At 45.9% G+C, this 27,699-nt stretch overlaps 1 long non-coding RNA gene and 1 pseudogene across 1 annotated transcript, besides 2 other annotated features; one reads left to right on the forward strand and one right to left on the reverse strand.

The window, feature by feature from the left end:
- Positions 1-1,190: 1,190 nt before the first annotated feature.
- On the forward strand, positions 1,191-26,143 carry LOC124904628 (uncharacterized). The gene is made up of 2 exons (XR_007067118.1): positions 1,191-1,280; positions 23,975-26,143. It is a non-coding gene; the product is annotated as an uncharacterized LOC124904628 (long non-coding RNA).
- On the reverse strand, positions 17,309-19,020 carry EXOSC3P2 (exosome component 3 pseudogene 2; annotated as a pseudogene).
- Positions 20,207-20,256: an enhancer, noted in NCBI's record as "active region_13901". NCBI's record gives its function as "activates an Ori minimal core promoter by ATAC-STARR-seq in GM12878 lymphoblastoid cells {active_cell/tissue: GM12878}" and the evidence as "EXISTENCE:reporter gene assay evidence [ECO:0000049][PMID:35858748]".
- Positions 23,975-24,214: an enhancer, noted in NCBI's record as "active region_13902". NCBI's record gives its function as "activates an Ori minimal core promoter by ATAC-STARR-seq in GM12878 lymphoblastoid cells {active_cell/tissue: GM12878}" and the evidence as "EXISTENCE:reporter gene assay evidence [ECO:0000049][PMID:35858748]".
- Positions 26,144-27,699: the final 1,556 nt, after the last annotated feature.

The following is a 27,699-nucleotide window of genomic DNA, read 5'->3' on the forward strand; positions in this document are numbered from 1 at the left end:
CGCGCTCTTGACATCCCTTGGGCCGTCCAGTACAATTTACTGCAAATCGCCCCTTAGGGGTCCAGTCAATGACGATTCCATAGGAGTTATTTTCCATCACCACGGCACTATTTGCAATGCAATCTTCCCAGGCCAGCTCCTCAGCTTCCTTAGACCATACTGTCAATTGTTCTGGGCATTTTTTCTTTCTTGGTCTAAATTGATTAGTAAGAATATTAGCTACACGATAGGAATTTCCTGAGGATATGACTTTAGTTTTAGATTGAAAGCTCCTTCCACTAACTATATGAATAGAGGCCTCTGACCCATTATGCGCAGGGACATAAACCATCCAGCTTTGTTTGTCATAATCTAAACATCCTGCTGCAGGCCCCAGACATACAGGAGGAGAGCGATAACCAATGGATGCATTTATTAACATTCCTTCCTCCTCTGGATGAATAGGGCCTTGGTTATCAGTTGGTCCAGGTGTCCAAACACTATCATTAACGTAAACCTCAACCGGGGGTTCCAACCAAGTGACAGGCCTAATTAAAGGCGGGAATGGGCCATATGCCCAACAGGTATAATTTTGTGCTGCTGTAGCCCCATGGAGACTTACCACCATAGCAATTACTGCAATTATAGCCACCATCATGAGTGAATCCCAACTTCTCCCCCTTTTTTGTTTTCTGTGTTAGGGTTTTTTGGTTGCAGGGCGTAGATATATGCAGCCACAGGTTTGTCAGGCGAGGAGGTCACTGCTCTTATTCCAGCTTTGCATCCCAGGATTAGTAAATAACAGAAGACAAACCTGAGTATAATTAGCAACATTTTTTTTTCCAGTCAAAGAGTGACCTGTAGTGTTACTTGGCATCTTAGTTTACTATACAGTATTAATGAGGAACCCCACTGGGGGTATGTTAATTTATTTTAGCTAAGCAGTTATGTTATTAGAAGCTGAGGGGTGGGGGGTTGTTAAAGTAACAGGGAAGAAGAAAGGCGGATTTAAGATATGAGCTTAATAGAGTGTAGTAGGTATAGGTAGTAGGCAAAGTGAGAGAATTAAAAATGAATGAATTATTTGGCTTAGTCTTCGCTTCTTCAGCACAATGTCTGGGGCCTATGTTGTTTGCGGAAGCCGCATTTTTGAGGCTACAGTTCCTGTAGGATCTTTCTTAGGCTGGCTCGAATTTTTTCTTCTTTCCGTCATTTGATGAGGACGTAGTCTTCAGGCTGGTACTGGAAATTCTAGGAGTGGTGCCTGTGCTGAGAGACTTTTTACCATCTTTAAAGAGCAGGTTAGTGTTTTAAGAAAAACTTGTGCTTTATTTTAATGTTTAGTTTATAGAAAAACTGGATGATACCTTTTTAACTTTAGCAAATGTTTACACACAATTTTTTACAATTATCATTTTAAAACTTGCTTAGACCTTCAAAACAAAAATTATACAACCTTTCTTGCACAAATTCCTTTTTATAACATTTTTCATGACTTTCACAGACAATCTTCAACATGCCTTAACTTTCTTCTTTTTTTTTTTTTTCTTTTTGAGACGGAGTCTTGCTCTGTCACCCAGACCGGAGTGCAGTGGCAAGAACTCGGCTCACTGCAAACTCCGCCTCCCGGGTTCACGCCATTCTCCTGCCTCAGCCTCCCGAGTAGCTGGGACTGCAAGCGCCAGCCACCACGCCCAGCTAATTTTGTGTAGTTTTAGTAGAGACGGGGTTTCACCATGTTAGCCAGGATGGTCTCGATCTCCTGACCTTGTGATCCGCCTATCTCGGCCTCCCAAAGTGCTGGGACTACAGGCGTGAGCCACCACACCCAGCCAACATGCCTTAACTTTGTATGTTTTATAACTTTCCTTACTAAAGGTACATTTTTATAACTTTCTTAATATTTCCTTTCCCTTCTTCCTACTTCATTTCTTTCCTTAGTCTTTCTTTTTGCATCTTTTTCTGATTTCTGTCTCTTCTAGTCTCTCTCTTATTTTTTTCTATTTCTCTTTCTAATGTACAATAATTAGATGAGTGTTGGTAACAATGGATATATGTACATATCTTAGTTTCCAAAATTTAGGGATGTGTTTAACATCTGTTTGCCACAACTGATTAGGTTCCAATCCTCTAGGGTTAACACCTGTTTAAGGAGGAAACGTGCCTGTCAGCTGGTAATCTGGGCATTGTAGGATAATTTGTTTAGCCAGTCTCTGGGCTAGTTGAAATTGTTTAGATAAGTTTCTCCAATTTTGGTGGAAAAATTGATGTGATTGGGTGGCTTGGTCAAGCAGTGATGTCATAACCTGAAGGTCTGCTTGATCTTGCCACAAGCCAATGGGCCAGGCAGAGATCTGTGGGCTCAAACGTGTGTAATAAAAATAGGATGTGTACCTTGGTCCGGCAATTGCTGAAGTTGAAGAAAAAGAGGCACACAGAGTGGGCTCCAGAGCGAACTTAAGGCTGTAAAAGTAATTTAATAAATAAACAGAACAGCCTCAGCTCTCCGAATGCTAGTAAATTTAGATCCAGTGATTGGATTACGTGGTCTCCACCAGACTGCCGCTTTTCCATCTTTACCAGACCCATTAGTAAAACCAGTCACAGCTCCCGCCGGGCGCGGTGGCTCATGCAGGTAATCCCAGCACTTTGGGAGGCCGAGGCGGGCGGATAACGAGGTCAGGAGATTGAGAACACGGTGAAACCCCGTCTCTACTAAAAATACAAAAAAATTAGCAGGGCGTGGTGGCAGGCGCCTGTAGTCCCAGCTACTGGGGAGGCTGAGGCAGGAGAATGGCGTGAACCGGGAAGGCGGAGCTTGCAGTGAGCCGAGATAGCGCCACTGCACTCCAGTCTGGGCGACACAGCGAGACTCCGTTTCAAAAAACAAAAACAAAACAAAAAAACCAGTCACAGCTCCTTCCAAAGGGGCATCACGAGTAATTTTCGGAGGAACCCATGTAGTTAATTTTAAGAACTGGAAAGTTTTATTTTTAGGATAATGATTATCAATACATCCAACAAATTCTGCTAAATAAACTTGCCATGTAACTGAATTAATAAATGCCTGTTTAACCTGATTTTTATTTATAGGAACTATAATCTTATTAGGTTCAGTGCCACAAAGTTTAACAACTCGCATACGAGCCTGTCCAATTAAAATTGCCATCTGATCTAAATATACTGTAAGTGTTTTTATGGTATTACGTGGCAAAAAGGACTATTCAACTAAATCATTATTTTGAACAATAATCCCCGTTGGGGAGTGTGAAGTAGGGAAAACAATGAATTGTAAAGGCAAGTCTGGGTCAATCCTACTGACCTGGGCTTGCGGAATTTTTTCTTCAATTACTCTTAACTCTTTCATGGCCTCGGGTGTTAGTTCTCTTTTACTGTGTAAACTGGAGTCTCCCCTCAGTATTGAGAAGAGATTAGACATAGCATAAGTAGGAATTCCTAAGGTGGGCCGAATCCAATTAATATCGCCTAACAATTTTTGAAAATCATTTAAGGTTTATTTGGTTTTTGTTTTTGTTTTTGAGACGGAATCTTGCTCTGTCCCCCAGGCTGGAGGGCAGTGGCTTGATCTCGGCTCACTGCAAGCTCCGCCTCCCGGGTTCACGCCATTCTCCCGCCTCAGCCTCCCGAGTAGCTGGGACTACAGGCGCGCAGCCACCACGCCCGGCTAATTTTTTGTATTTTTAGTAGAGGCGGGGTTTCACTGTGTTAGCCAGGATGGTCTCGATCTCCTGACCTTGTGATCCGCCCGCCTCAGCCTCCCAAAGTGCTGGGATTACAGGCGTGAGCCACTGCCCCCCCGCCCATTTAAGGTTTTTAAAGAAGCTTTTCTAATTTGAACCTTTTGAGGCTTAATGCTCTATCCTGTACTTGCATTCCCAAATACTGAAAAGGAGTGGTTGTTTGAATTTTGTCAGATGCTTTAAGCAATCCAGCGTTTGTAATTGCCTTTTGCAAAGATGAATAACATTGAATAAGTTGGCCTCTATTTTTTGCTGCACACATCTGGAAATTGATCTCTAACAGGCTGGATAGTTCTGCCTACAAAAGTCTGACAAATTGTGAGACTGTTTAACATACCCCGAGGTAAAACCTTCCAATGATATCTGGCTGCAGGTTCTTTATTATTAACTGCAGGGATGGTAAAGCCAAATTTTTCGAAATCTGCCTCTGCTAAAGGAATTGTAAAAAAAAAAAAAAAAAAAAAAAAAAAAAAAAAGCAATCTTTTAAATCTATAATAACAAGCGGCCAGTCTTTAGGGATTATAATGGGGGATGGGAGCCCTGGTTGTAAAGCTCCCATCGGTTGAATTACAGCGTTGACCGCTAGTAAATCGGTCGGCATGCGCCATCTGCCGGACTTTTTCTTAATTACAAATACTGGGGAATTCCAAGGAGAAAAAGTGGGTGTGAAACATGTCCTTTTTCTAGTAATTCTTTAACTATTTCATAAAGCGCCCCCAATTTTTCCTTAGGGATCGGCCACTGTTCGACCCAGACAGGGCGCTGGGTCATCCATTTTTAAGGGAAATTGCTCCTTCCCCGTAATGAACGGCAGGGCGAGCCTGAATTTTAATTAACTGGTGGCTGAGCCTGAATCATCCCTTTACCGTAATTAACGGCAGGTTTTGCAACAATGGGCGCGGCGAACCGCGTCTCAGGCTTCCATGCCCGCAATTCACAAGGCTTAGGCGCGGGTGGCCATTCCGGAGCTTCCCCTGAGGGTGCGGTAGGTTGGACGGTCTCTTTCATATGTGTTTGGTTAGCATATATAACCTCCTGATTCTCCGCCTTTTTTAAACTGGAGCTAGATGGTGCACTCTCCTGACCGTCAAACTCGTCTCCTTCATTTCCAAATGCTGGTTCCTCCTCAGTCTGCAAAGGCTCACGTGCTGTTTTCACTGCCGCCCACACAGACCAAGCGGAGAAAGGAATTTCTTGACCCTCTTTTTGTGCCTGTTTGAAGTCAGCCCTTATTTTTTCCCAGTCTTTCAAATCCATGGAGCTGTGTTCCGGGAACCAAGGAGAATATTGTTCTATTAGCTGAAACAGGGACAGAAGATTTTGGGTGCTCACGTTTAACCACAGTGGCACAATAACTGCCGCACCAAACTCAAATAATTATTATGTCTACTCTCAGCCTGACCCACAATTTCCTGTTGTTACCCTGGAATTCTCCGAGCGCCCCGCTTACCTGCAGAGCTTAAAAGTCTTTTCGTTGGCCGGCGCGGTGGCTCACGCCTGTAATCCCAGCACTTTGGGAGGCCGAGGCGGGCGGATCACGAGGTCAGGAGATCAAGACCATCATAGCTAACATGGTGAAACCCCGTCTCTACTAAAAATACAAAAAGTTAGCCGGGCGTGGAGGCGGGCGCCTGTAGTCCCAGCTACTTGGGAGCTGAGGCAGGAGAAGGGCGTGAACCCGGGAGGCGGAGCTTGCAGTGAGCCGACATCGAGCCACTGCACTCCAGCCTGGGTGACAGAGCGAGACTCCGTCTCAAAAATAAATAAATAAATAAATAAGTAAAAATTAAAAAAAAACTTTTCGTCCTTGGGAGTTCTCCATCTGTCGGTCCTTCATTTTCGACGCTCCTGCATTCCTTCACCCGGTTGTTTTGGAGATACCACGTTGGGCGCCAGATGGTGGGGTCCAGCCTCAACACTACCCGTGGGTACCTGAAGTCCGGTGGCGACAAAGGAATGAGAAAAGACAAGTTAAGATTTTAAAGCAGGCCCAGGGGGCCAGTTGCTAGAGTGAAGGCTGCAAAACGCCCAGAGTTCTGGTTGCCTGACGATTTATTGAGCACAATCTTTTGATCTAAGAAGCAGCTGGGATGAAACGGTGAAGGAGCGGGAGCGTACGTCATTGGAAAGATGTAGAGCAGTGGCGGTTATATGAATTTCCTTTAAGCTAAAAGCATATGTCTAACTGCTAAGACAGTCTTTAACTTATCGGGCTGCAGCTGGTGGGGGCCGGTTTTACAAGGAGCTAGGATGTCTGGTCACGTTCCAACACTTCAAGGGAGTGTGTCAGCCCAGAGCATTCTGTGTAAAGCCGCAGAGCAGGTCATGCCCTCTGGCCTGGGAACTTAATGGCTTGCGGAGATGATTCTCCTAAGGGCCCCCTACAGTTTTCCATAGGTGTCCTACACAGGGGTGACTGACTAAACTGGCACCCCATAAACCTTTCCACCAGCACTTTTGTTTCAGGCTGCTGGCTCTGGTGAGCTCTTCTTTTTTGTTTTGTTTTATTTATTTATTTATTTATTTATTTACTTTATTTTTTTTGAGACACAGTCTCGCTGTCTCCCAGGCTGGAGTGCAGTGGCGTGATCTCAGCTCACTGCAAGCTCCACCTCCCAGGTTCAGGCCATTCTCCTGCCTCAGCCTCCGGAACAGCTGGGACTACAGGTGCCCACCAGCACGCCCAGCTAATTTTTTGTATTTTTAGTAGAGACGGGGTTTCACCATGTTAGCCAGGATGGTCTTGATCTCCTGACCTCGTGATCCACCCGCCTCAGCCTCCCAAAGTGCTGGGATTACAGGTGTGAGCCACCGCGCCTGGCCTCATTTATTTGTTTTTTAGATGGAGTCTCACTCTGTCACCCAGGCTGGAGTGCAGTGGCACAATCTCAGCTCACTGCATCCTCCACCTCCCAGGTTCAAGGGATTCTCGTGCCTCAGCCTCCCTGGTAGCTGGGATTATAGGTGTGTGTCACCATGCCCGGCTAGTTTTGTATTTAAAAATAGGCAGGATTAAAAAGTAGGTGGGGTTGATCCAACCATTATCTACATGATTGAACCCCACCTTCAGCCCCTTCCCCTTCCTGGAGGTCAGGTGGCTAAAAATCCCAACCTTGGTGGTTGGTGTTTCTGGCATGACCAGCCCCCATCCTGAGTCACCTCCTTGGTATAAGCTCAGTTATGGTCCAGGGCCCCCATGAATAATAAAGACGCTTCTTTTTTTTTTTTATTTCCATAGGTTTGGGGGAACATGTATTTGGTTACATGATTAAATTCCTTAGTGGTGATTCATGAGAGTTTGGTGCACCCATCTCCCAAGCAGTATACACTGCACCTAATTTGTAGTATTCTATCCGTCAGCTTTCCACCCTTTCCCCTTGAGCCCCCAAAATCCACTGTGTCATTCTTATGCCTTTGCATCCTCATAGCTTAGCTCCCACTTATGAGTGAGAGTATACAATGTTTGGTTTTCCATTCCTGAGTTCCTTCACTTAGAATAATGGTCTCCAGTCCCATCCAGGTTGCTGCAAATCCCATTAATTCATTCCGTTTCATGGCTGAGTAGTATTCCATTTTATATGTATGCCACAGTTTCTTCACCCATTCGTTGACTGATGGAAATTTAGGTTTGTTCCACGTTTTTGCACTTGCGAATTGTGCTGCTATAAACATGTGTGAACAAGTATCTTTTTTGTATCATGACTTCTTTTCCTCTGGATAGATACCCAGTAGTGGGATTGCTGGCTCAAATGGTAGTTTTACTTTTAGTTCTTTAAGGAATCTCCACGCTGTTTTCCATAGTGGTTGTACTAGTTTACATTCCCACCAGCAGTGTAAAAGTGTTCCCTGTTTGCCACATCCACACCAACATCTATTATTTTTTGAGTCTTTGATTATGGCCATTCTTGCAGGAGTAAGGTGGTATCACATTGTGGTTTTGATTTGCATCTCCCTGATCATTAGTGATGTTGAGCATTTTTCCATATGTTTGTTGGCCATTAAGACACTTCTATTACTTGGAAAATTCCAAGAGTTTAGACGCCCCCTGCCAGGAACCAGAGGTAGTGACTAGACAGATTATTTAGCACACAATATCTTTCTATCTTAAAATCGCAATCATATCTGCAAAGTCTCTTTTTGCCATATAAGGTGACATTCATAGGATCCAGGGATTAGGACTTGGATATCTTTTTTTTTTTTTTTTTTGAGAAGGAGTTTCACTCTTGTTGCCCAGGTTGGAGTGCAATGGCATGATCTCAACTCACTGCAACCTCCACCTCCCAGGTTCAAGTGATTCTCCTGTCTCAGCCTCCTGAGTAGCTGGGATTACAGACATGCACCACCACACCTGGCTAACTTTGTATTTTTAGTAGAGACAGAGTTTCACCATCTTGGTCAGGCCGGTCTCGAACTCCCGACCTCAGGTGATCCGCCCGCCTCAGCCTCCCAAACTGCTGGGATTACACATGTGAGCCACCATGCCTGGCCAGGACTTGGATATCTTTGCAGGCCATCATGCATCCTAGCTCAAAGAGTAACTAGCTGAGAAAGACTCCCAGGTGGGGGATGGAAGTCGAAATGCGTACCTGGTGGCCTAACTGCTTGCTGAGCTGGGTTAAGTGGCAATTTGGAAGATCCACAGACAGATCTAGTCTAACTTACTGATGATCAAGTGGAGATCTCTGACTCACTGAACAGCAACAGAGACGAACTGACAGGATTGACTTCCAGGCTGACTGACAACCTCAACGGCAGAGCCTCTTCCAGGTTGTAGTGACAAATGTACAATGGAAGCACAGGTGGACAGGAGAAGCCCAGGAGTCTCTTCCTGGGGGTGGAGCTGAGTAAGTACCGGCTGTGGCTGGGGCAGAAGGAAGAGGCCCCCAGGTTAAGCTGGAACTTCCCCAGGATCCTGTCCATGGCTCACGCATGCCCTCGAGCCCCTGGTACTCCAGGCTTAGATGCTGGGGCAGCAGGGCTGGAGGGAACCTCAGGGCAGGAGCCCAGAGAGCCAAATAACTGGATTCAAAGGGTCCATCCTCCCTTCACCATTGGCCTCAGGCATACCTGATCAATGCACAGGTCCCAGCTTGCAGTCTCCTGGCTCTAACTGGCTGGTGTTAGAGCAGATCCATAAAGACCCCAAATAAGAGAGTCAGGACCAAATTGTCCTCCCTGGCCCTTGGCCCCAGCCCACCCCCCTGCCCCACTCCCCAACACACAAGAGTCAACCTTCCAGGGAAGAAAGGAATCCCTGGAGCCTATCCCTCATCCTAGAACAGATATTCAGTCAGCTTTTATGGTCCTGGAATATTGGTCTTGCTAGAAAGACTATTCTAAATGCCAACAGCTGGCCGAGTGTGATGGCTCATGCCTGTAATCCCAACACTTTGGAAAGCTAAAGTCAGTGGATCACTTGAGCCCAGGGGCTCAAGCTCAGCCTGGGCAACATAGTGAGACCCTGTCACTATAAAAATAGTTTTTTTTGAGGTGGAGTCTCGCTCTGTCGCCCAGGCTGGAGTGCAATGGCGTGATCTCGGCTTACTGCAACCTCTGCCTCCTGGGTTCAAGCGATTCTCCTGCCTCAGCCTCTTGAGTAGCTGGGATTACAGGCACACCCCACCACACCTGGCTAATTTTTGTATTTTTAGTAGAGACAGGGTTTCACCATGTTGGTCAGGCTGGTTTCGAACTCCTGACCTCAGGTGATCCACCTGTCTCAGCCTCCCAAAGTGCTGGGATTACAGGCATGAGCCACTGTGCCAGGCCTGTTAAATGACTTTTCTAAACTACTTCTGTAAAGTCTATATTCTCTGTCATGGCTACTGAAGTCTTTGCTCAGTTAGCTTCATGGTTAGCTAGTGGTTGGACAGAGATTTCCTTGAATGTCTGGAATCGGAAGTCTGCCAGTCTTTGCCAGGGAGCTCTGTGTACTTATTAGGGACACACCTTCAACATTCACCCAGGAAATTTACAACTGTGCTTTAGCTCTCACTTCCTGCTTACACAGAGCCTCGAAGTCGGCCAGCGGTGTGAGCTTAGGGCTGTCTCAGGTCTTTCCTAAGCATGTGGCCTTCCATATCCCCAGAAATATGTCAGAATTTTTCAAAAGTCCCTCCGAACATCTAATGTCTTCATTTTTCCTTCTAAGATTTTTTTTTTTTTTTTTTTTGAGACGGAGTCTCGCTCTGTGGCTCAGGCTGGAGTGCAGTGGCGCGATCTCGGCTCACTGCCAGCTCCGCCTCCTGGGTTCACACCATTCTCCTGGCTTGGACTACAGGCGCCCGCCACCACACCCGGCTAATTTTTTGTATTTTCAGTAGAGACGGGGTTTCACCGTGTTAGCCAGGATGGTCTCGATCTCCTGACCTCAAGTGATCCTCCCGCCTCGACCTCCCAAAGTGCTGGGATTACAGGCGTGAACCACCGCGCCTGGCGCTTTTCCTTCTAAGATTTTTAGTTAGGCTATTATTTCCCCAACTGTTAAGTATTGCCACAGGCAGCTGCAATGTTAAAACATTTAACAAATAGCCCCTGGGGAGAAATGTTTAGCATCCGGCAAGTTCAAGTGAGGTCAGGTCTTTCAGAGCAGGGTCTTCCAGAGTACCAATAAATAGGTCAATAAATGACTCTTCTTGGCTGGGTGCGGCGGCTCACGCTTGTAATCCCGGCACTTTGGGAGGCCGAGGTGGGTGGATCACTTGAGGTAAGCAGTTTGAGACTAGCCTGGTCAACATGGTGAAACCCTGTCCCTGCTGAAAACACAAAAATGAGTCAGGCATGGTGGCGGGCACCTGTAATCGCAGCTACTCCGGAGGCTGAGGCAGGAGAATCGCTTGAACCCAGGAGAAGGAGGTTGCAGTGAGCCGAGATCACGCCACTGCACTCCAGCCTGGGCGACAGAGCGAGACTCTGTCTCAAACACACACACACACACACACACACACACACACACACACACACACACACACCTCTTCTTGAATGATCCTGAATGAGGTTTTGAAGGAGCCGCACCTCTGTTCTTTTCCGTATGGTATCAAGATTGTGGGCTGTTATTTTTCAAGGCTACCCTCTGAGCTGGAGAGCCAGGAATAAGACTAGAGTGAGTTAAAATTCTACAGAGCTTGCTGTTTTTTTATGTGTTTTTTTTTTTAATTAAATGCTCTGCAAATTACTGTAAGCTTTTGGTTAATTTCCAGAGTTGTGAAAATGTTGATTCTGTCAAATTTTGCCAGTTTTTTTCATTGCTTTTGTAGAAAGGCAAATTTTACTCTGCCATTTTGCTGACGTTCTTTTTTTTCCCCTTCGATGCTTAAATTATCTTTAATTTGGCCAGTGAAAGCTTTTCTCTCTGGCTTCTGGGTCCTTTTGACATATTCCTATTGGTTTTTTGCTGATCGTTTTTTCTTCCTTCCTGGCCTAACTAGATGTTCTAGGCTTTTGTCCCCCCCAACCCTGCCTCAGCCTCCCAAGTAACTAGGACTACAGGAGCACGCCACCACGCCTGGCTAATTTTTAAATTTTTTGTAGAAATGGGTCTTGCTATGTTGCCCAGGCTGCTCTCATTTTTCCAAAAAGCCCTGGGCTAGGTGGAGATTGGCAGTTAGAAATGATCTGGGTGTTAAGTGTGCCCATTGTTACTGGGGTATGTGGCTCCCAGGTCCTCTTAGTAGATAAATGGGAACACACACACACACACACACACACACACACACACACAAACTTATTTCTATATTTATCTTTATATTTTGAAAACCATGAATTCACCTCAGTACCTCCAATTCAATAGGGTTTATTCTTGTTTTTTTTTGTATCTTTTCTTTTTTTTTTTTCTTGAGACCGAGTCTCGCTTTGTCACCTGGGCTGGAGTGCAGTGGCGCAATCTTTGGCAGTCTCAGCTCACTGCAGCCTCAACCTGCTGGGCTTGAGGGATTCTCCTGCCTCAGGCTCCTGAGCAGCTGGGACCACAGGCTCACGGCACCACACCCAGCTAATTTTTTGTCTGTAAAGACAGGGTCTCACTATGTTTCCTGGGCTGGTCTGGAACTCCTGGACTCAAGCGATCCTCCCACCTTGGCCTCCCAACGTGCTGGGATTACAGTGGCCGGGTGCAGCGGCTCACGCCTGTAATCCCAGCACATTGGGAGGCCGAGGCAGGTGGATCACCCGAGGTCAGGAGTTCGAGACCAGCCTGGCCAACATGGCAAAATCCCATCTCTACTAAAAATACAAAAATTAGCCGGGCTTGGTGGCGGGAGCCCGTAATCCCAGCTACTTGGGAGCCTGAGGCAGCAGAATCGCTTGAACCTGGGAGGTGGAGTTTGCAGTGAGCCGAGATCTTGCCACTGCACCCAGCCTGGGTGACAGAGCAAGACTCTGTCTCAAAACAAAACAAACAGAAAAACAAAGTGCTGGGATCACAGGCATAAGCCACCACACCTGGCCTCTGCATCTCATGAGCATTTATTTTGTGCTATGTGTTTTTTGGATATGACCTCAAAGAATCCGGTAACACAGCCGCCCTCATTCTCATTTTACCTATGAGCATAGTGGCTCAGAGATGAGTCACCTGCCCACAGCCCATCAGCTGATAAACACTGGAGTTGGGTTTGAAACTGTGAAAGCAATGAGGACCACATCATTTTCACTTCCCTTCGTGGCCCCAACTCAAACCAACCCAAAACCCAAGAAAGAAGATGTGGAGATTGTGTTGCCTTTCATAACTGGGAAGCGCGGGTGAGTGGAGGGGACCAGATTCAGGATCTGCTTTTCTTTCTTTCTTTTTTTTTTTTTTTTTTTTTGAGACGGAGTCTTGCTCTATCGCCCAGTGGAGTGCAGTAGCGCGATCTCGGCTCACTGCAACCTCCACCTCCCGGGTTCACACCATTCTCCTGCCTCAGCCTCCCGAGTAGCTGGGGCTACAGGTGCCTGCCACCACGCCCGGCTGATTTTAGCATCTGCCTTTCTTTATCTGTCTATGATCTGTTTGCTCCAGAATGTAACCTTCTAGACCAAAGGTTGGCAAACATTTGAAAAGGGCCAAATAGTAAATATTTTTGGGCCTCGAGGGCTCTCTGCTGCAACTCTGCTATTCTAGCACAAATGCGTCACATACAATACATAAATGCATGGGCAGAAAACAATTTGTTAGCCGGGCACAGTGGCTCACGTCTGTAATCCCAGCACTTTGGGAGGCCAAAACAGATTAGGGTTTTCCAAGGCTGCAGGAAGGCAGGAATGTGGAGTGACTGCTTAGTAAGTATGGGGGGCTGGGCATGGTGGCTCACGTCTGTAATCCCAGTACCTTGGGAGGCCAGGGGAGGAAGATTACTTGAGGCCAGGAGTCTGAGACCAGCCTAGGCAACATAGCAAGGCCCCATCTCTACAAAACATTTGAAAATTAGCTGACCACGGTGGCACATGCCCACGTCCCCAGCTACTCAGGAGGCAGAGGTGGGAAGATTGCTTGAGCCCAGGAGGCTGAGGCTGCACTCAACCATGATTGTGCCACTGCAGTCACCCTGGGTGACAGAAGAAGACCCTCTCTCAACAAAAACAAAAATAAATAAATAGGCCGGGCGCAGTGGCTCATGCCTGTAATCCCAGCACTTTGGGAGGCCGAGGCGGGTGGATCATGAGGTCAGGAGATCAAGACCTTCCTGGCTAACACGGTGAAACCCCGTCTCTACCAAAAATACAAAAAATTAGCCAGGCATGGTGGCAGGCACCTGTAGTCCCAGCTACTCAGGAGGCTGAGGCAGGAGAATGGCATGAACCCGGGAGGCGGAGCTTGCAGTGAGCCGAGATTGCACCACTGCCCTCCAGCCTGGGCGACAGAGTGAGACTCCGTCTCAAAATAAATAAATAAATAAATAAATAAATAAATAAATAAATAAATAACTATGGGGTGTCCTTTTGGGGAGATGAGAATGTTCTGGAACTAGGTAGTAGGGATGGTTGCACAACATTGTAAATGTACTAAATGTCACTGAATTGTATACTTTAAATGGTATGCTTTAAATGGTAAAGTTTATGTTATGTGTATTTTACTACAATAGAGGAAATGAAGGGAATCCTTCAGGATGAAATGAAAGAACACTAGACAGTAACTCAAATCCATATGAAAGGCCAGGCGTGATGACTCTTGCCTGTAATCCCAGCACTTTGAGAGGCCAAGGCCCACCTGAGGTCAGGAGCTTGAGACCAGCCTGGCTAAACATGATGAAACCCCGTCTCTACCAAAAAATACAAAATTAGCTGGGTGTGGTGTCGTGTGCCTGTAGTCCCAGCTACTTGGGAGGCTGAGGTAGGAGAATCACTTGAACCCCGTTGACGTGAGCTGAGATCACACCACTGCCCTCCAGTCTGGGCGACAAAGTGAGACCCTGTCTCAAAAAAAAAAAAAGTCCACATGAAGAAATAAAGAACCCCTTCCCACCACTGGCATTTTCCGCAACTGCCTCCCATATAAATTCCTCTTGTCCTCAAATTTGGGTCTGCTTAGTGTACTGATTAAGCATGGACTTGTGTCAACTTGCCTAGGTTCGAATCCCAGCCCTACCACTTACAAGCTGTATGACCATGGTCAATTGTTAACCTCTCTGTGTCTCAATTTTCTCCTCTGTAAAGCAGGATAATAACTGTGCTTTTCTTGTAGTGTTATTGTGAAGACTGTTAGTGTCTCCCTCACCCACCCAGTCAAAAAACACCAGAATCACACATGTGGTTGAACAAATGTCTTTGCCTCCCCTCCCCTCCCCTCCCATCCTCTCCCCTCCCCTCTCTTTTCCTTTTTCTTTGAGACGGAGTCTCGCTCTGTTGCCCAGGCTGGAGTGCAGTGGTGCAATCCGGCTCACTGCAACCTCCACCTGCCAGGTTCAAGCAATTCTCCTGCCTCAGCCTCCTGAGTAGCTGGGACTACAGATGCGTGCCACCATGCCCGGCTAGTTTTTGTATTTTTAGTAAAAACAGCGTTTCACCATGTTGGCCAGGCTGGTCTTGAACTCCTGACCTCAAGTGATATGCCTGCCTCGGCCTCCCAAAGTGCTGGAATTACAGGCATGAGCCACCATGCCCAGCCAGTTGAAAAAATTTCAATGTATTACTTGTCACAGCGAAGGAGAATACACACCACGGGTAGCTGTTACTGAAACACCAGTTCAGTCGGCTGCTTGCCACACAGAAAGCCAATCACTGAGACACTAGTATTGCCCATGAAGAAGGCTTTAATTAGGTGCCAACCAAGGAGATGGGAGATCAGTCTCAGATCTATCTCCCTGACTGATTGAAATTAGGAGTTTAGGCTGGACGTGGTGACTTACGCCTGTAATCCCAGCACTTTGAGAGGCCGAGGCAGGCGGATCACCTGAGGTCGGGAGTTCGAGACCAGCCTGACCAACATGGAGAAACCCCATCTCTACTAAGAATACAAAATTAGCCTAGGGGTGGTGGCACATGCCTGTAATCCCAACTACTCAGGAGGCTGAGGCAGGAGAATTGCTTGAACCTGGGAGGCAGAGGTTGCGATGAGCTGATGTCGTGCCATTACACTCCAGCCTGGGCAACAAGAGCGAAACTCCATCTCAAAAATAAATTAGTTAATTAAAAATTAGGGGTTTATATAGCAGGGAAGAAATGTGACAATATGTGAGAAAACAACAGTTAGGTAGGGGTAAGGAAGAGAAGTTGGTCAACAGGAAGCAGATCGTCAATTGGGCAATCATGATGGGTGAGGGGTCTGACATCTCATTGTCCAGGTGTGATCTGCTAAGTTTCAGCTCCTTGATACTATCTGGGAGTCCTGATGGTTCGTTTCCTGGGAAAGGAACTCAGATAAGACAAATGTAACTTTCTCAAGTCAATTCTATGTTTATTGAAAGAAACTATTAATATAAGTTCTATGGGATGATGGGGCTAGTTTCATAACCATGGGGTATCTCAGTAGGAGAGTGTAATAAATGACTTATTATATGATTGGGGCTTGTGTTAAGTTCTTTAGGGGAGGATTCTAGGTTGGATGCTATCAGGAAGAGGGGGTAATCTTATGACTAGGCATTCTAATAAGTCTTTTAATTTAATTTTTTTTTTGAGACAGAGTCTTGCTCTCTTGCCGAGGATGGAGTTCAGTGAGGCAATCTCAGCTCATGGCAACCTCCTCCCCCCAAGTAGCTGGGATTACAGGCTCCTGCCACCACGGCCAGGTAATTTTTTGTATTTTTGTAGAGACAGGGTTTCACCATGTTGGCCAGGCTGGTCTCAAACTCCTGACCTTAAGTGATCCACCCACCTCGGCCTTCTGAAGTGCTGGGATTACACGCATGAGCCACTGAAGAACAAATAAATCTTATATGCAAGGAGTAAAGACTAGACTGAGGCTAAAGCCATGATTGATAAAAGAGAGTGCTATGAGCTGAGTGTTTACCTCTGAAATTCATATGTTGAAATCCTAACCCCTAAGATGATGTTATTAGGAGGTGGTAATTTGGGGTTAGTAATTAGGTCATGAGGTCAGAGCCTTCATTAGTGTCCTCATAAAAGAAACCCTAGAAAGCTTCCTTCACCCTTTCCACCATGTGAGAACACAGCAAGAAGGCACCATCTATGAATCAGGAAGCAGGCTCTCACCAGCCACCAAATGTACCAGCACCTTGATAGCTGGAAGTGCTGGGCAAAGTTCTAGCAATGCTATGATCAGCTGCAGGACCAGACCAGCTCCTAGAACACCATGGTCACCTAGGAAGGCCAGGGCAGCTCCTAACAACACCAAAGCCAGCTGTGAGCTTCAGGCCTGCTCTTGACCACTCTTCTTCTCTCGGGATTAAACTAGCTATGTTATGTAGAGCATGTAGAACAATGTCTGATAAATCTTTTATCGAGACTTGCTCTTTCTAGCCTCCAGAAGTGTGAGCAATAAATTTCTACTGTTTATAATCCACCCAGCCTATGATGTTTTATTAGAGCAGCCCCAACAGACTAAGAGAGAAAGGTTGTTCCAATTAGCCAGAATATAGGAATGTTTGGTTATGTCTGGTTTGGACAGTGCTCACATTTTGTCTGTGTTCAGACATGCTTACAGAGTGATCTCACTTTTGTCTTGCTATGTACACATTTACAGCTACAAACGTTTTTGCTTGATGTTGATGTTCTGTGAAATTGTTTATATTCAAGAGGACAACATCATAACCTAGGTGGAAGTGCTGGGTAAAGTTCTAGCCATGCCATGATCAGCTGGAAGACCAGACCAGCTCCTAGAACACTCTGGCCACCTAGGAAGCCCAGGGCAGCTCCTAGCAACACCAAAGCCAGCTGTGAGCTTCAGGCCTGCTCTTGACCACTCTTCTCCTCTCAGGATTAAACTAGCTATGTTATGTAGAGCATGTAGAACAATGTCTGATAAATCTTTTTTCGAGATGGAGTCTCACTCACTCTATCACCCAGGCTGTTTGCTCACTGCAACCTCTGACTCCTGGGTTCAAGCAATTCTCCTGCCTCAGCCTCCCCAGTAGCTGAGATTACAGGCATGCATCACCATGCCCAGATAGTTTTTGTATTTTTTATTTTTTTAATGTTTTAGCAAACTTTGTTGTACAGAACAAAAAAAAATACATCATGATTCTGCATGATTTTCTCTCCCACAAAAGCATGGGTGAAAACCAGTAACTTACTTATAAAAATATTTTATTTAGGACTCTAATAAGATAATATGTACATTCATACCTTGTCTCCTGAGTATTTAAATGGGGAAAGGTTCACCTGAAAAAAGTTTTCCCCAGGAAACCCATAGTTTCTTGGCTCAACTGACCCATTAAAAAAGTCCACCTAGAGCCAGGTGCGGTGGCTCACACCTGTAATCCCAGCACTTTGGGAGGCCAAGGCGGGCAGATCACGAGGTCAAGAGATTAAGACCATCCTGGCCAACATGGTGAAACCCCGTCTCTACTAAAAATACAAAAATTAGCTGGGCGTGGTGGCATAAACCTGTAGCCCCAGCTAATCAGGAGGCTGAGGCAGAAGAATCGCTTGAACCCAGGAAGTGGAGATTGTAGTGAGCCAAAATCATGCCACTGCACTCCAGCCTGGTGGCAGAGCAAGACTGTCTCAAAAAAAAAAAAAAAAAAAAAAAAAAAAAAAGTCCACCTAGGCGGGGCTCAGTGGCTCATGCCTGTAATCCCAACACTTTGGAAGGCCAAGGCAGGTGGATCACCTGAGGTCAGGAGTTCAAGACCAGCCTGGCCAACATGGTGAAACCCCATTTCTACTAAAAATGCAACATTTAGCCAGGCATGGTGGCACACACCTGTAATCCCAGCTACTCAGGAGGCAGAGACAGGAGAATTGCTTGAACCCGGAGGCAGAGGTTGCAGTGAGCCGAGATCAAACCATTGCACTTCAGCCTGGGCGACAAGAGCAAAACTCTGTCTCAAAAAAAAAAAAAAAAAAAAAAAAAAAAATCCACCTGTATCAACTTTCTGCCAGTCTGGAGAAGATTTGTTTTCTTTGATCTGACATCATGTGTTCACAAGCTTCCAAAATGTTTGCCAAAATTAAAGTTTGATGGATGGTTTTTGTTTTGACCCATATTCTTCCATTCATTCCAAATACTATCTCCAGGGAATAAAGTTTTCCCACTTCCTGTATGATTCCACAACCTGGAGTTAATAGCTTTCTAACTAAGCCCAAAGTCACTTTAAAAAGCAGACCATCAGGGCCAGGCACGGTGGCTCACGCCTGTAATCCCAGCACTTTGGGAGGCAGAGGCACGCAGATCATCTGAGGTCGGGAGTTCGAGACCAGCCTGACCAACATGGAGAAACCCCGTCTCTACTAAAAATACAAAATTAGCTGGGTGCAGTGGCGCATGCCTGTAATCCCAGTTACTCAGGAGGCTGAGGCAAGATAATTGCTTGAATCTGGGAGGCGGAGGTTGCGGTGAGCCAAGATCACACCATTGCACTCCAGCCTGGGCAACAAGAGCAAAACTTCATCTCAAAAAAAAAAAAAAAAAAAAGCAGACCATCCTGTCCAATGACACCCATTCCATTGGCTCGTCCTCAGCTGTCAATACACACCATCTCTAGTTCCATGTCTTTATTAGCAACCACAAAGTGGCCATAGATGAGATCTCCAACCTACACATATGGTCTGTTTCTTTTAGTTGCACCTTCAAACGCCAAGTAAAACAAAGAAGCTGGCTCACTCCCTCCAACATCAGCTCTGAATGTATCTCCAGATTTAGCTGTCACTATGCCAATCACATGGTCTCCTTTCACTCGAACATACTCATTCCCGGGGCTGCAGCACTTCCAACCCGGCGGTGTCTCAGCTTTCCCAGTCCTCGTTCTTGTGTTTTTTAGTAGAGACAGGGTTTCACCATTTTGGCCAGTCTGGTCTCGAACTCCTGACTTCAAGTGGTCTGCCCACCTCAGCCTCCCAAAGTGCTGGGATTACAGGCATGAGCCACCGGGCCCAGCGTGATAAATCTTAAGTGCTGTAATTACTGAGTATCCATCATTCAAATAGGCAATTTATACCTATTACTAGTGCACTGTATTAAAACTCATAGTAACATGGCCAGGCATGGTGGCTCACACCTGTAATCCCAGCACTGTGGGAGGCCAAAACAGGTGGACCCACCTGAGGTCAGGAGTTCAAGGCCATCCTGGTCAACATGGTGAGACCCCGTCTCTACTAAAAATACAAGAATTAGCCAGGCATAGTGGTGCGTGCCTTTAATCCCAGCTACTCTGGAGGCTGAGGCAGGAGAATCACTTGAACCCGAGAGGCAGATGTTGCCGTGAGCTGAGATCACACCACTGCACTCCAGCCTGGGAGACAGAGCGAGACTCCATCTCAATAAATAAACAAATAATAAAAAATAAATAAAACTCACAATAACAGTGTGAGGCAGTGTAGTTGTCTCATTTCACAGCTGAGGAAACTGAGACTCCCAAAAAGTGAGGCTCAAGGTGTCAGCGTTGTATATGGGTTCAGATAGAGTCTTTTGGCACTGGAATTTACTGGATAGTTTCTGCCTGCCCTCTAAATGACTCTCCTCTGTGTCAGGTGCTTCATCTCTCACCCCACTTTTCAGGAAGGGTGTGTCTCCATCCTGTTCCTTATTCTTCTTCCTGGCTTGGAGAGATGTGATTCTGAGGGGCTGCAATGCATGGGGTTATAAAAACCCACAGTCCAGAGAGGGGATGGAGAGAGAAGGGAGTAGAGAGGAGAAGATGGAGGAAGTGTGCGAGCCCAAGGGGCCAGGCAACCCTGGTGAGGCTGCCCCACCCCTTCCGTGGGATGTTGGTAGTGAAACAGAAAAGGTTCCCTTGTCCCCCTTGCAGGGCGTGTGACGGGGGGTGTGGCTCACATCTTCTGTGCCCCGCTGCTCAAACCTCCAGGGGAAGCATGCAGACAGGCAGGTTGTGGGGCTCCAACCCCATGGCAGCGTCTAGGGGTGAATGCTTTACAGCTCATGAGGGCCCCGTGGGAATGTGTTACAGCGTGCTCTTTCAGTTTTGCCGTCCGCAATTGGCTGATGTTCATCAGCTCAGTTAGATGCTCTGCCTTATTGCAAGGACAGACGACTTTCTCTCTCCCAGGGTTCTTGCCTTAGTGAACTGGAAAAATTGGATCCCATGTGATCCAATTGGGTGATCCGATTGGAGGGTGGGTGAAAGTTTTTTTATGGAGTGGTGGTAGCCCTCAGTGAGGTGCTTTTCTGTTTCACTGTCAACATCCCACAGAAGGGGTGGGGCAGCCTCACCAGGGTTGCCTGGCCCCTTGGGCTCACACACTTCCTCCATCTTCTGAACCCATATACAACGCTGGGAGTGGTGGCTGTAGTCCCAGCTACTTGGGAGGCTGAGGTGGGAGGATCACTTGAGCCCAAGAGTTTGAGGCTGCAGTGAGCTATGATCACACCACTGCACTCCAGCCTGGGTGACAAAGTGAGACCTCGGTCTCTACAAAAGGAAAGAAATAAAAGAAAAAGGGCTGTCTAGCAAAGACATGGAATCAACCCATCAATGATAGACTGGATAAAGAAAATGTGGTACATATATACAATGGAGTACTATGCAGCCATAAAAAAGAACAAGATCATGTCCTTTGCAGGGACATGGATAAAGCTGGAGGCCATTATCCTTAGCAAACTGATGCAGGAACAGAAAACCAAATACCGCATGTTCTCACTTATAAGTGGGAGTTAAATGATGAGAACACATGGACACATAACGGGGAACAACACACACTGGGGCCTATTGCAGGGTGGAGAGTGAGGAGGGAGAGGATCAGGAAAAGTAACTAATAATCTGTACATGTCATATGTTCACCTGTATAACAAATCTGCACATCCCACACATATACCCCTGAACTTAAAGTTTAAAAAAAATCACATCATTACTCTTTAAAAAAAAAAAAAGAAAGAAAGAAAGAAAAAGAAAAAGGGTTGTCACTTCTGCCTTCATCTGCTCCCTCTAACCCTCTGATGGCTGCCCCACCTGCCACCACTTTCCTGAAATGACCAAGGAGAGTAACTACCGTTCCTTTGTGAAAGCCAACCAGACTTGTTTCTATCTTGTTTCCACTCATTAATGGGGTGGCCACTCCCTCCCTCCTCCTTGAAACTCCTCTCTCCCAAGACTTCCCTGATGGCCTCACCTCCTGGTTCTCCTCCTGTCTGCCTGACCGCTCCTTCTCCATCTCCTTCATGGGCTCCTCTTCTGCCTGCCCTCAAAATGTCCCTGTCATTTACAAGTCTTTACTATCCAAATTCACTCCTGCTACTGGGAAGGCAAGAAGGAAAGACAGTCACAGCTGGACTGTCTTTCAAGTTTCTCCAGAGCTGGAGCCAGTGAGGTTACACTGGGTAGCAAAGTCAGAGGAAGGAGCCAAGGCAGGAACTAAGTGAGAAACCAACCAAGTTCCAATCAGCCAAGAGTGAAAGTCCAAACTGGTTGTAGAAACTAAATGGCCATGGCTGGGTGCAGCGGCTCATGCCTGTAATCCCAGCACTTTGGGAGGCCAAGGCGAGTGGATCTCTTGAGTTTAGGAGTTTGAGACCAGCCTGGGGAACATGGTGAAACCTCATCTCTACTAAAAATACAAAAATTAGCTAGGCATGGTGGTGCATGCCTGTAGTTCCAGCTACTCAGGAGGCTGAGGTGGAAGGATGGCTTGAGCCTGGGAGGTGGAGGTTGCAGCAAGCTAAGATTGTGCCACTGTACTCCAGCCTGTGTGACACCATGAGGCCCTGTCTCAAAAAAAAAAGAAAAAAGAAAGAAACTAAATGGCCACAAGGTAGGGTATGGAGACAACCAGGGTGAGCCCATAAAACTATCTGGGCCTGGTGCCTTTCTTCTTATTAGATCTCTAATTACCTTCTTTTCAGCTGTTTTCAAATTGCCAAAGCATCCACAAAGTTGCCAGATCTAGTCAGCCTGCAAGCTGACCACAGATGGGCTCCTATAATATCTAATCTGTTCAGGTTTCCTATTTCAGATGATTTGTATCACTCTGTGATTAATTTCCAAATTATTACTATGTTTGTTTCAACTCCGCCTCCCCCCACCCCACACCTAATAGTTATTGATTGCCACAAACAAATTGCCACAAATGGCCCAGCTTAAACAACATACATTTATTATTTTATAGTTTTTATGGGTCAGGAATCTGGGCATGACTTGCCTGGATCCTTTGCCTGGGGTCTCTCATAAGACGGCAATCAAGGAGATGGCCAGGATTAAGGTTTCATCTGAAGGCTCAACTGGGGAAGGATTCACTTCCTAGCTCACTCATGTGACTGTTGGCAGAATCAGTTCCTTTTGTGCTGTTGGGCAAATTATCTCAGTTCCTAGCTGGCTGTTGGCCAGAGGACACCCTCAGCTTATTGCCACATGGGTTTCTCCAACATAGCAACTTGCTTCATCAAAGCCATCAAGGGGAAAAGTCTGCTAGCAAGATAGAAGTCAGAATATTTTGGAATATAATCTCAGAAGTGACAGTTTCTCAATGATGAAGTATTCTATTGGTTAGAAGCAAGATAATCACCAGTAGAGGATCACAGAAGGCCATGAATACTAGGAGGTGGGGACCATTTCAGAAGCTACTTACTACACCCCACCAGCATATAAATATATAAGTCTATTAGAGCAGGAACACTTTGGTTCATGTTAACCATCACTTCTCCAGTGTTTTAATGAGTGAATGGAGGCTGGGCATAGTGGCTCACACCTGTAATCCCAGCACTTTGGGAGGCTGAGGCAGGTGGATCACCTGAGGTCAGGAGTTCAAGACCAGCCTGGGCAACATGGTGAAACCCTGTCTCTATTAAAAATACAAAAATTAGCCAGACATGGTGGCGTGCACCTGTAATCCCAGCTACTCAGGAGGCTGAGACACAAGAATCACTTGAACCTAGGAGGCAGAGGTTGCAGTGAGCTGAGATCATGCCATTACACTCCAGCCTGTGTGACAGAGTGAGACTCTGTCTCAAAAAACAAACTGAAAAAAGAGTGAATGGCATATAGTAGGTGATAAATTAATATTGGTGAAATGAAAGATTCAATGGGGTAAGCTATGTGGTCTTAGAGTGGAATAGCTAGAGATTGCTTCAATTCAACAATTTTTTATTACGTTCAGGAATTCTATTCACAGAATAGTCAAGGAGCAGTGGATGGGTGTAATTGTCATGACAGGTAAAACCAGGGGTGATAAACTGTGGGGTGAACACAGACATAGAAGAGTCACTGGATAAATCTGCTGGCTTGCATCACTGTGTAGGGGTCCTGGATGTGGTCGGCCAATATTAGGCTTAGTGAGTATGCTTGTAGGCATACACCTACAAGGATGTATCAGTTCGCTATTGCTGCATAACAAAATGCTCCCAAAATTAATGGCTTGGGCTAATAATTTATTTGGTACATGATTGTGTGGTTCACCAATTTGGGTCAGATTCAGCTGGAAAGTTCTTCTGGGTATAGCTGGGCTCATTTATGCATCTGTGGTCAGCTGATGGATTGGCTAAATCTGGCTACTCTTGAATGCTTTGGCAACTTGAAAATGTAGCTGAAAATACTTTAACAAAGCTCTTCTTGAGAGGCAAACTCACTATCCCCTCCCCTTGAATCTGAGCAGGCTTGGATTGCTTCAACCAATAGAGTAGAGCAGAAGTGATATTATATAACCTCCAAGGCTAGATCATAACACATCATGCAAGCTTCTGTCTTGTTTGCAGGAAGATTCACTTCCAGAGCCTTGAGACAACATGTAAAAAGTTCAACTACCCTGAGACTGCAGTGATGGAGATGTCATGTGGAGAGACCACATGGAAAGTCCCTGAAGCTACAGGAGGAGAGCGAGAGAGAGAGAGAAAGAGATCGATCCCCCAAGAGACTTCAATCATTTGAGTCATCCCAGCCCAGGAACCAGACATGTGAATGAAGAAGCTACCAGATAATCCCAGCCACCAGATACCAGCTCCCAGCCACTGGAGGCACTCCCCCACTCTTCAAGTCTCCCCACCTTAAGCCCTAGATGTCATGGATCAGAGACAAACCATCCCCACTATGCCCTGTCCAAACTTCAGACCCACAAAAACCATGAGCATATTAAAAATGATTGCTGTTTTATGCCACTGAGTTCTCGGATGGTTTCTTACACAGCAATCGAAAACTGGAACACGGCTGGGTGCAGTGGCTCATGACTGTAATCCCGGCACTTTGGGAGGCTGAGACAGGTGGATCACCTGAGGTCAGGAGTTCAAGACCAGCCTGGCCAACATGGTGAAACCCCATCTCTACTAAAAAAAATACAAAAAATTAGCCAGGCGTGGTGGCGTGAGCCTGTAATCCCAGCTACTTGGGAGGCTGAGGCAGCAGAATTGCTTGAACCCGGGAGGCAGAGATGGCATTGAGCCAAGACCACACCATTGCACTCTAGCCTGGGCAATGAGACAGAAGCTGCATCTCAAAAAAAAAAAAGAAAGAAAGAAAGAAAAAAGAAAAGAAGAAAGGAAACTGGAACAGATAACCTCACTCACAGCTGGAGGTTGGTCGGCTGACAGTTTAGGCCATGAGGGTGACTGAGCCATGTGCCTCTCACCTTTCAGGCTACCTCTGGCTTGTTCACATGATGGTTAAGAGTGGCAAGATCAGTGCAAAATGACAAAGTAGACAGTTCCAAGCCCGCGTTCCCCACAGAAACATCAAAAAACAAGCAGAAACTGTCAGATACAACTTTGTCAGAACTCTGGGAAACAGTCAAAGGTTTACGGTAGTCCAGTGAATGCTGAATCAAGAAGAAAGACAACTTCAAAATGATCAAAAGCTTTTGATATTTCGACTTGCGTTTGCCCCACTTGCCACTGCCCTCCCTTGTGTGACAGCAGTAGTGGGAAGAGGGAAGCCCACACTCCCAGCATGAGACTCTCATTCCTCCTTCCAGAGGGAGCAGAGCAGACTTTATTTGTAGATGATAGTGTATGTCCGCTCTAAGCTGTCTGGGAGCCACCTGAAGGACAAGGTGCTCATCTCTGGTCTTCCTGCCTCGGAACTCAGGCTGGAAAAGTGGTGGCACTGCTCAAAAACACTGCAAGCCAAACTAACAAACCACAGATGTCTGTTCCAAAGATTACAATCAAAACACACAATAGACGGCCTAAGGCTCAGGAGCAAAAGCTGGGGAGAGTTTCCTGGGGAAATTAGAAGCACCTGCATGCATAGGGGGATTTATAAACACAGGGTTATGCCCACAGCAAGATGCATGCTCAGAAAAGACCTGAGAAGACCCTAAGTTATGCTCAGCTGATCCCTAGGCTCAGGGCAAGCTGGGTTAAATGTTGAAAGAGTGCTCCAGCACAGGGCCAATCTGCAAAGACTGAGCGAGGGAAAGATTTTTTGTTTGGTTGGTTTGCTTGCTTTTTTAGCTCCTGGTATTCAAGAAAATCTGTCAAAACACTAGCTGAACACAAGCTAAGGAATAGAGACTTCAGTGACCACATGCGACAAGTAATATAGTCTTTGCAAGAATAGTTTTGGAAAGTCATTAAGCCAAAACTACTACGGTCTTTAACAATAAAACAAACAACAAACCAGCAAACCCTGGGACAGTGGGAGAATCTGACATCCAAATTTATCACATTACAAATATTCAAATGTCCAGTTTTTAACAAGAAAAATCACAAGGTATACAGAGAAAAAGGAAATTATGGCCCATTGAAAGGGGAAAAAAAATAACAAATTGAAAGGAATTATTCCTGAGAAAGTCCAGATCTGAGACTTACTAGACAAAGACTTTAAAATAATTGTCTTAAATATGCTCAAAGAGCTAAGGGAAAACATGGACAAAAATCTAAAGGAAACCAGGAAAACAATGTATGAATAAAATGAGACTATCAATAAAGAAATGGCCAGGCGTGGTGGCTCATGCCTATAATCCCAGCACCTTAGGAGGCTGAGTTGGGTGGATCACTTGAGGTCAGGAGTTCGAGACCAGCCTGGCCAACGTGGGGAAACCTCATCTCTACTGAAAATATAAAAATTAGCTGGTCATTGTGGCAGGCACCTGTAATCCCAGCTACTCAGGAGGCTGAGAGAGGAGAATCACTTGAACACAAGAGGCGGAGGCTGCAGTGAGCTGAGATTGCGCTACTGCACTCCAGCCTGAGTGACAGAGTGAGATCCTGTCTCAAAAAAAAAGAAAAAGAAAAAAAAGTATGAAGGCCAGAAGACAGTGTGATGACATACTTAAATTGCTGAAAGAAAAAAAATCAACCAATAATTCAACATCTTTCAAAACTCTTTCAGGCCAGGCGCATTGGCTCACACCTGCAATCCCAGCACTTTGGGAGGCCAAGGCGGGAGGATGACCTGAGGTCAGGAGTTCGAGACCAACCTGACCAACGTGGAGAAACCCCATCTCTACTAAAAATACAAAAACTAGCTGGGCATGGTGGCACACGCCTGCAATCCCAGCTACTCGAGAGGCTGAGGCAGGAGAATCACTTGAACCCAGGAGGCAAAGGTTGCAGTGAGCCAAGATCGCACCACTAAACTCCAGCCTGAGCATCAAAGTGAGACTCTGTCTCAAAAAAAAAAAAAAAAAAAAAAAAGCAGAGTTTGGCAGAATAATTTTATTTTTTTATTTTTTTTTTTTTGAGACAGAGTTTCCCTCTTTTTGCCCAGGCTGAAGTGCAATGGTGTGATGTCAGCTCACTGCAACCTCCGCCTCCCGGATTCAAGCGATTCTCCTGCCTCAGCCTCACAAGTAGCTGGGATTACAGGCACCTGCCACCATGCCTGGATAATTTTTTGTACTTTTAGTAGAGACGGGGTTTCACCATGTTGGCCAGGATGGTCACGATCTCTTGACCTCGTGATCCACCCACCTCGGCCTCCCAAAGTGCTGGGATTACAGGAATGAGCCACTGCGCGCGGCCTAGATTGGCAGAATAATTTTTTAAAACATGATCTATGTCTTTTTTTTTTTTTTTTTTTCGAGAGGGAGTTTCACTCTTATTGCCCAGGCTGCAGTGCAATGGAGCGATCTCGGTTCACTGTAACCTCTGACTCCTGGGTTCAAGAGATTCTCCTGCCTCAGCCTCCCGAGTACCTGGGATTACAGGCACCCACCACCATGCCCAGCTAAGTTTTTATATTTTTAGTAGAGGCGGGGTTTCATCATGTTGGTCAGGGTGGTCTCGAACTCCTGACCTCAGGTGATCCGCCTGCCTCGGCCTCCCAAAGTGCTGGGATTACAGGCATGAGCCACCACGCCCAGCCTAAACATGATCTATGTCTTGTCTACAAGAGACTCACTTTAGATGCAAAGATACAAACAGATTGAAAGTGAAATGATGAAAAAGATATTTCATGTGGCCGGGATTTATATATAAATTTAAATATATATATATAATTTAAATATATATATAATTTAAATATATATTTAAATTTAATATATATT

This window comes from Homo sapiens, chromosome 19 (assembly GCF_000001405.40).
Source record: "Homo sapiens chromosome 19, GRCh38.p14 Primary Assembly".
Classification (NCBI taxonomy): domain Eukaryota; kingdom Metazoa; phylum Chordata; class Mammalia; order Primates; family Hominidae; genus Homo; species Homo sapiens.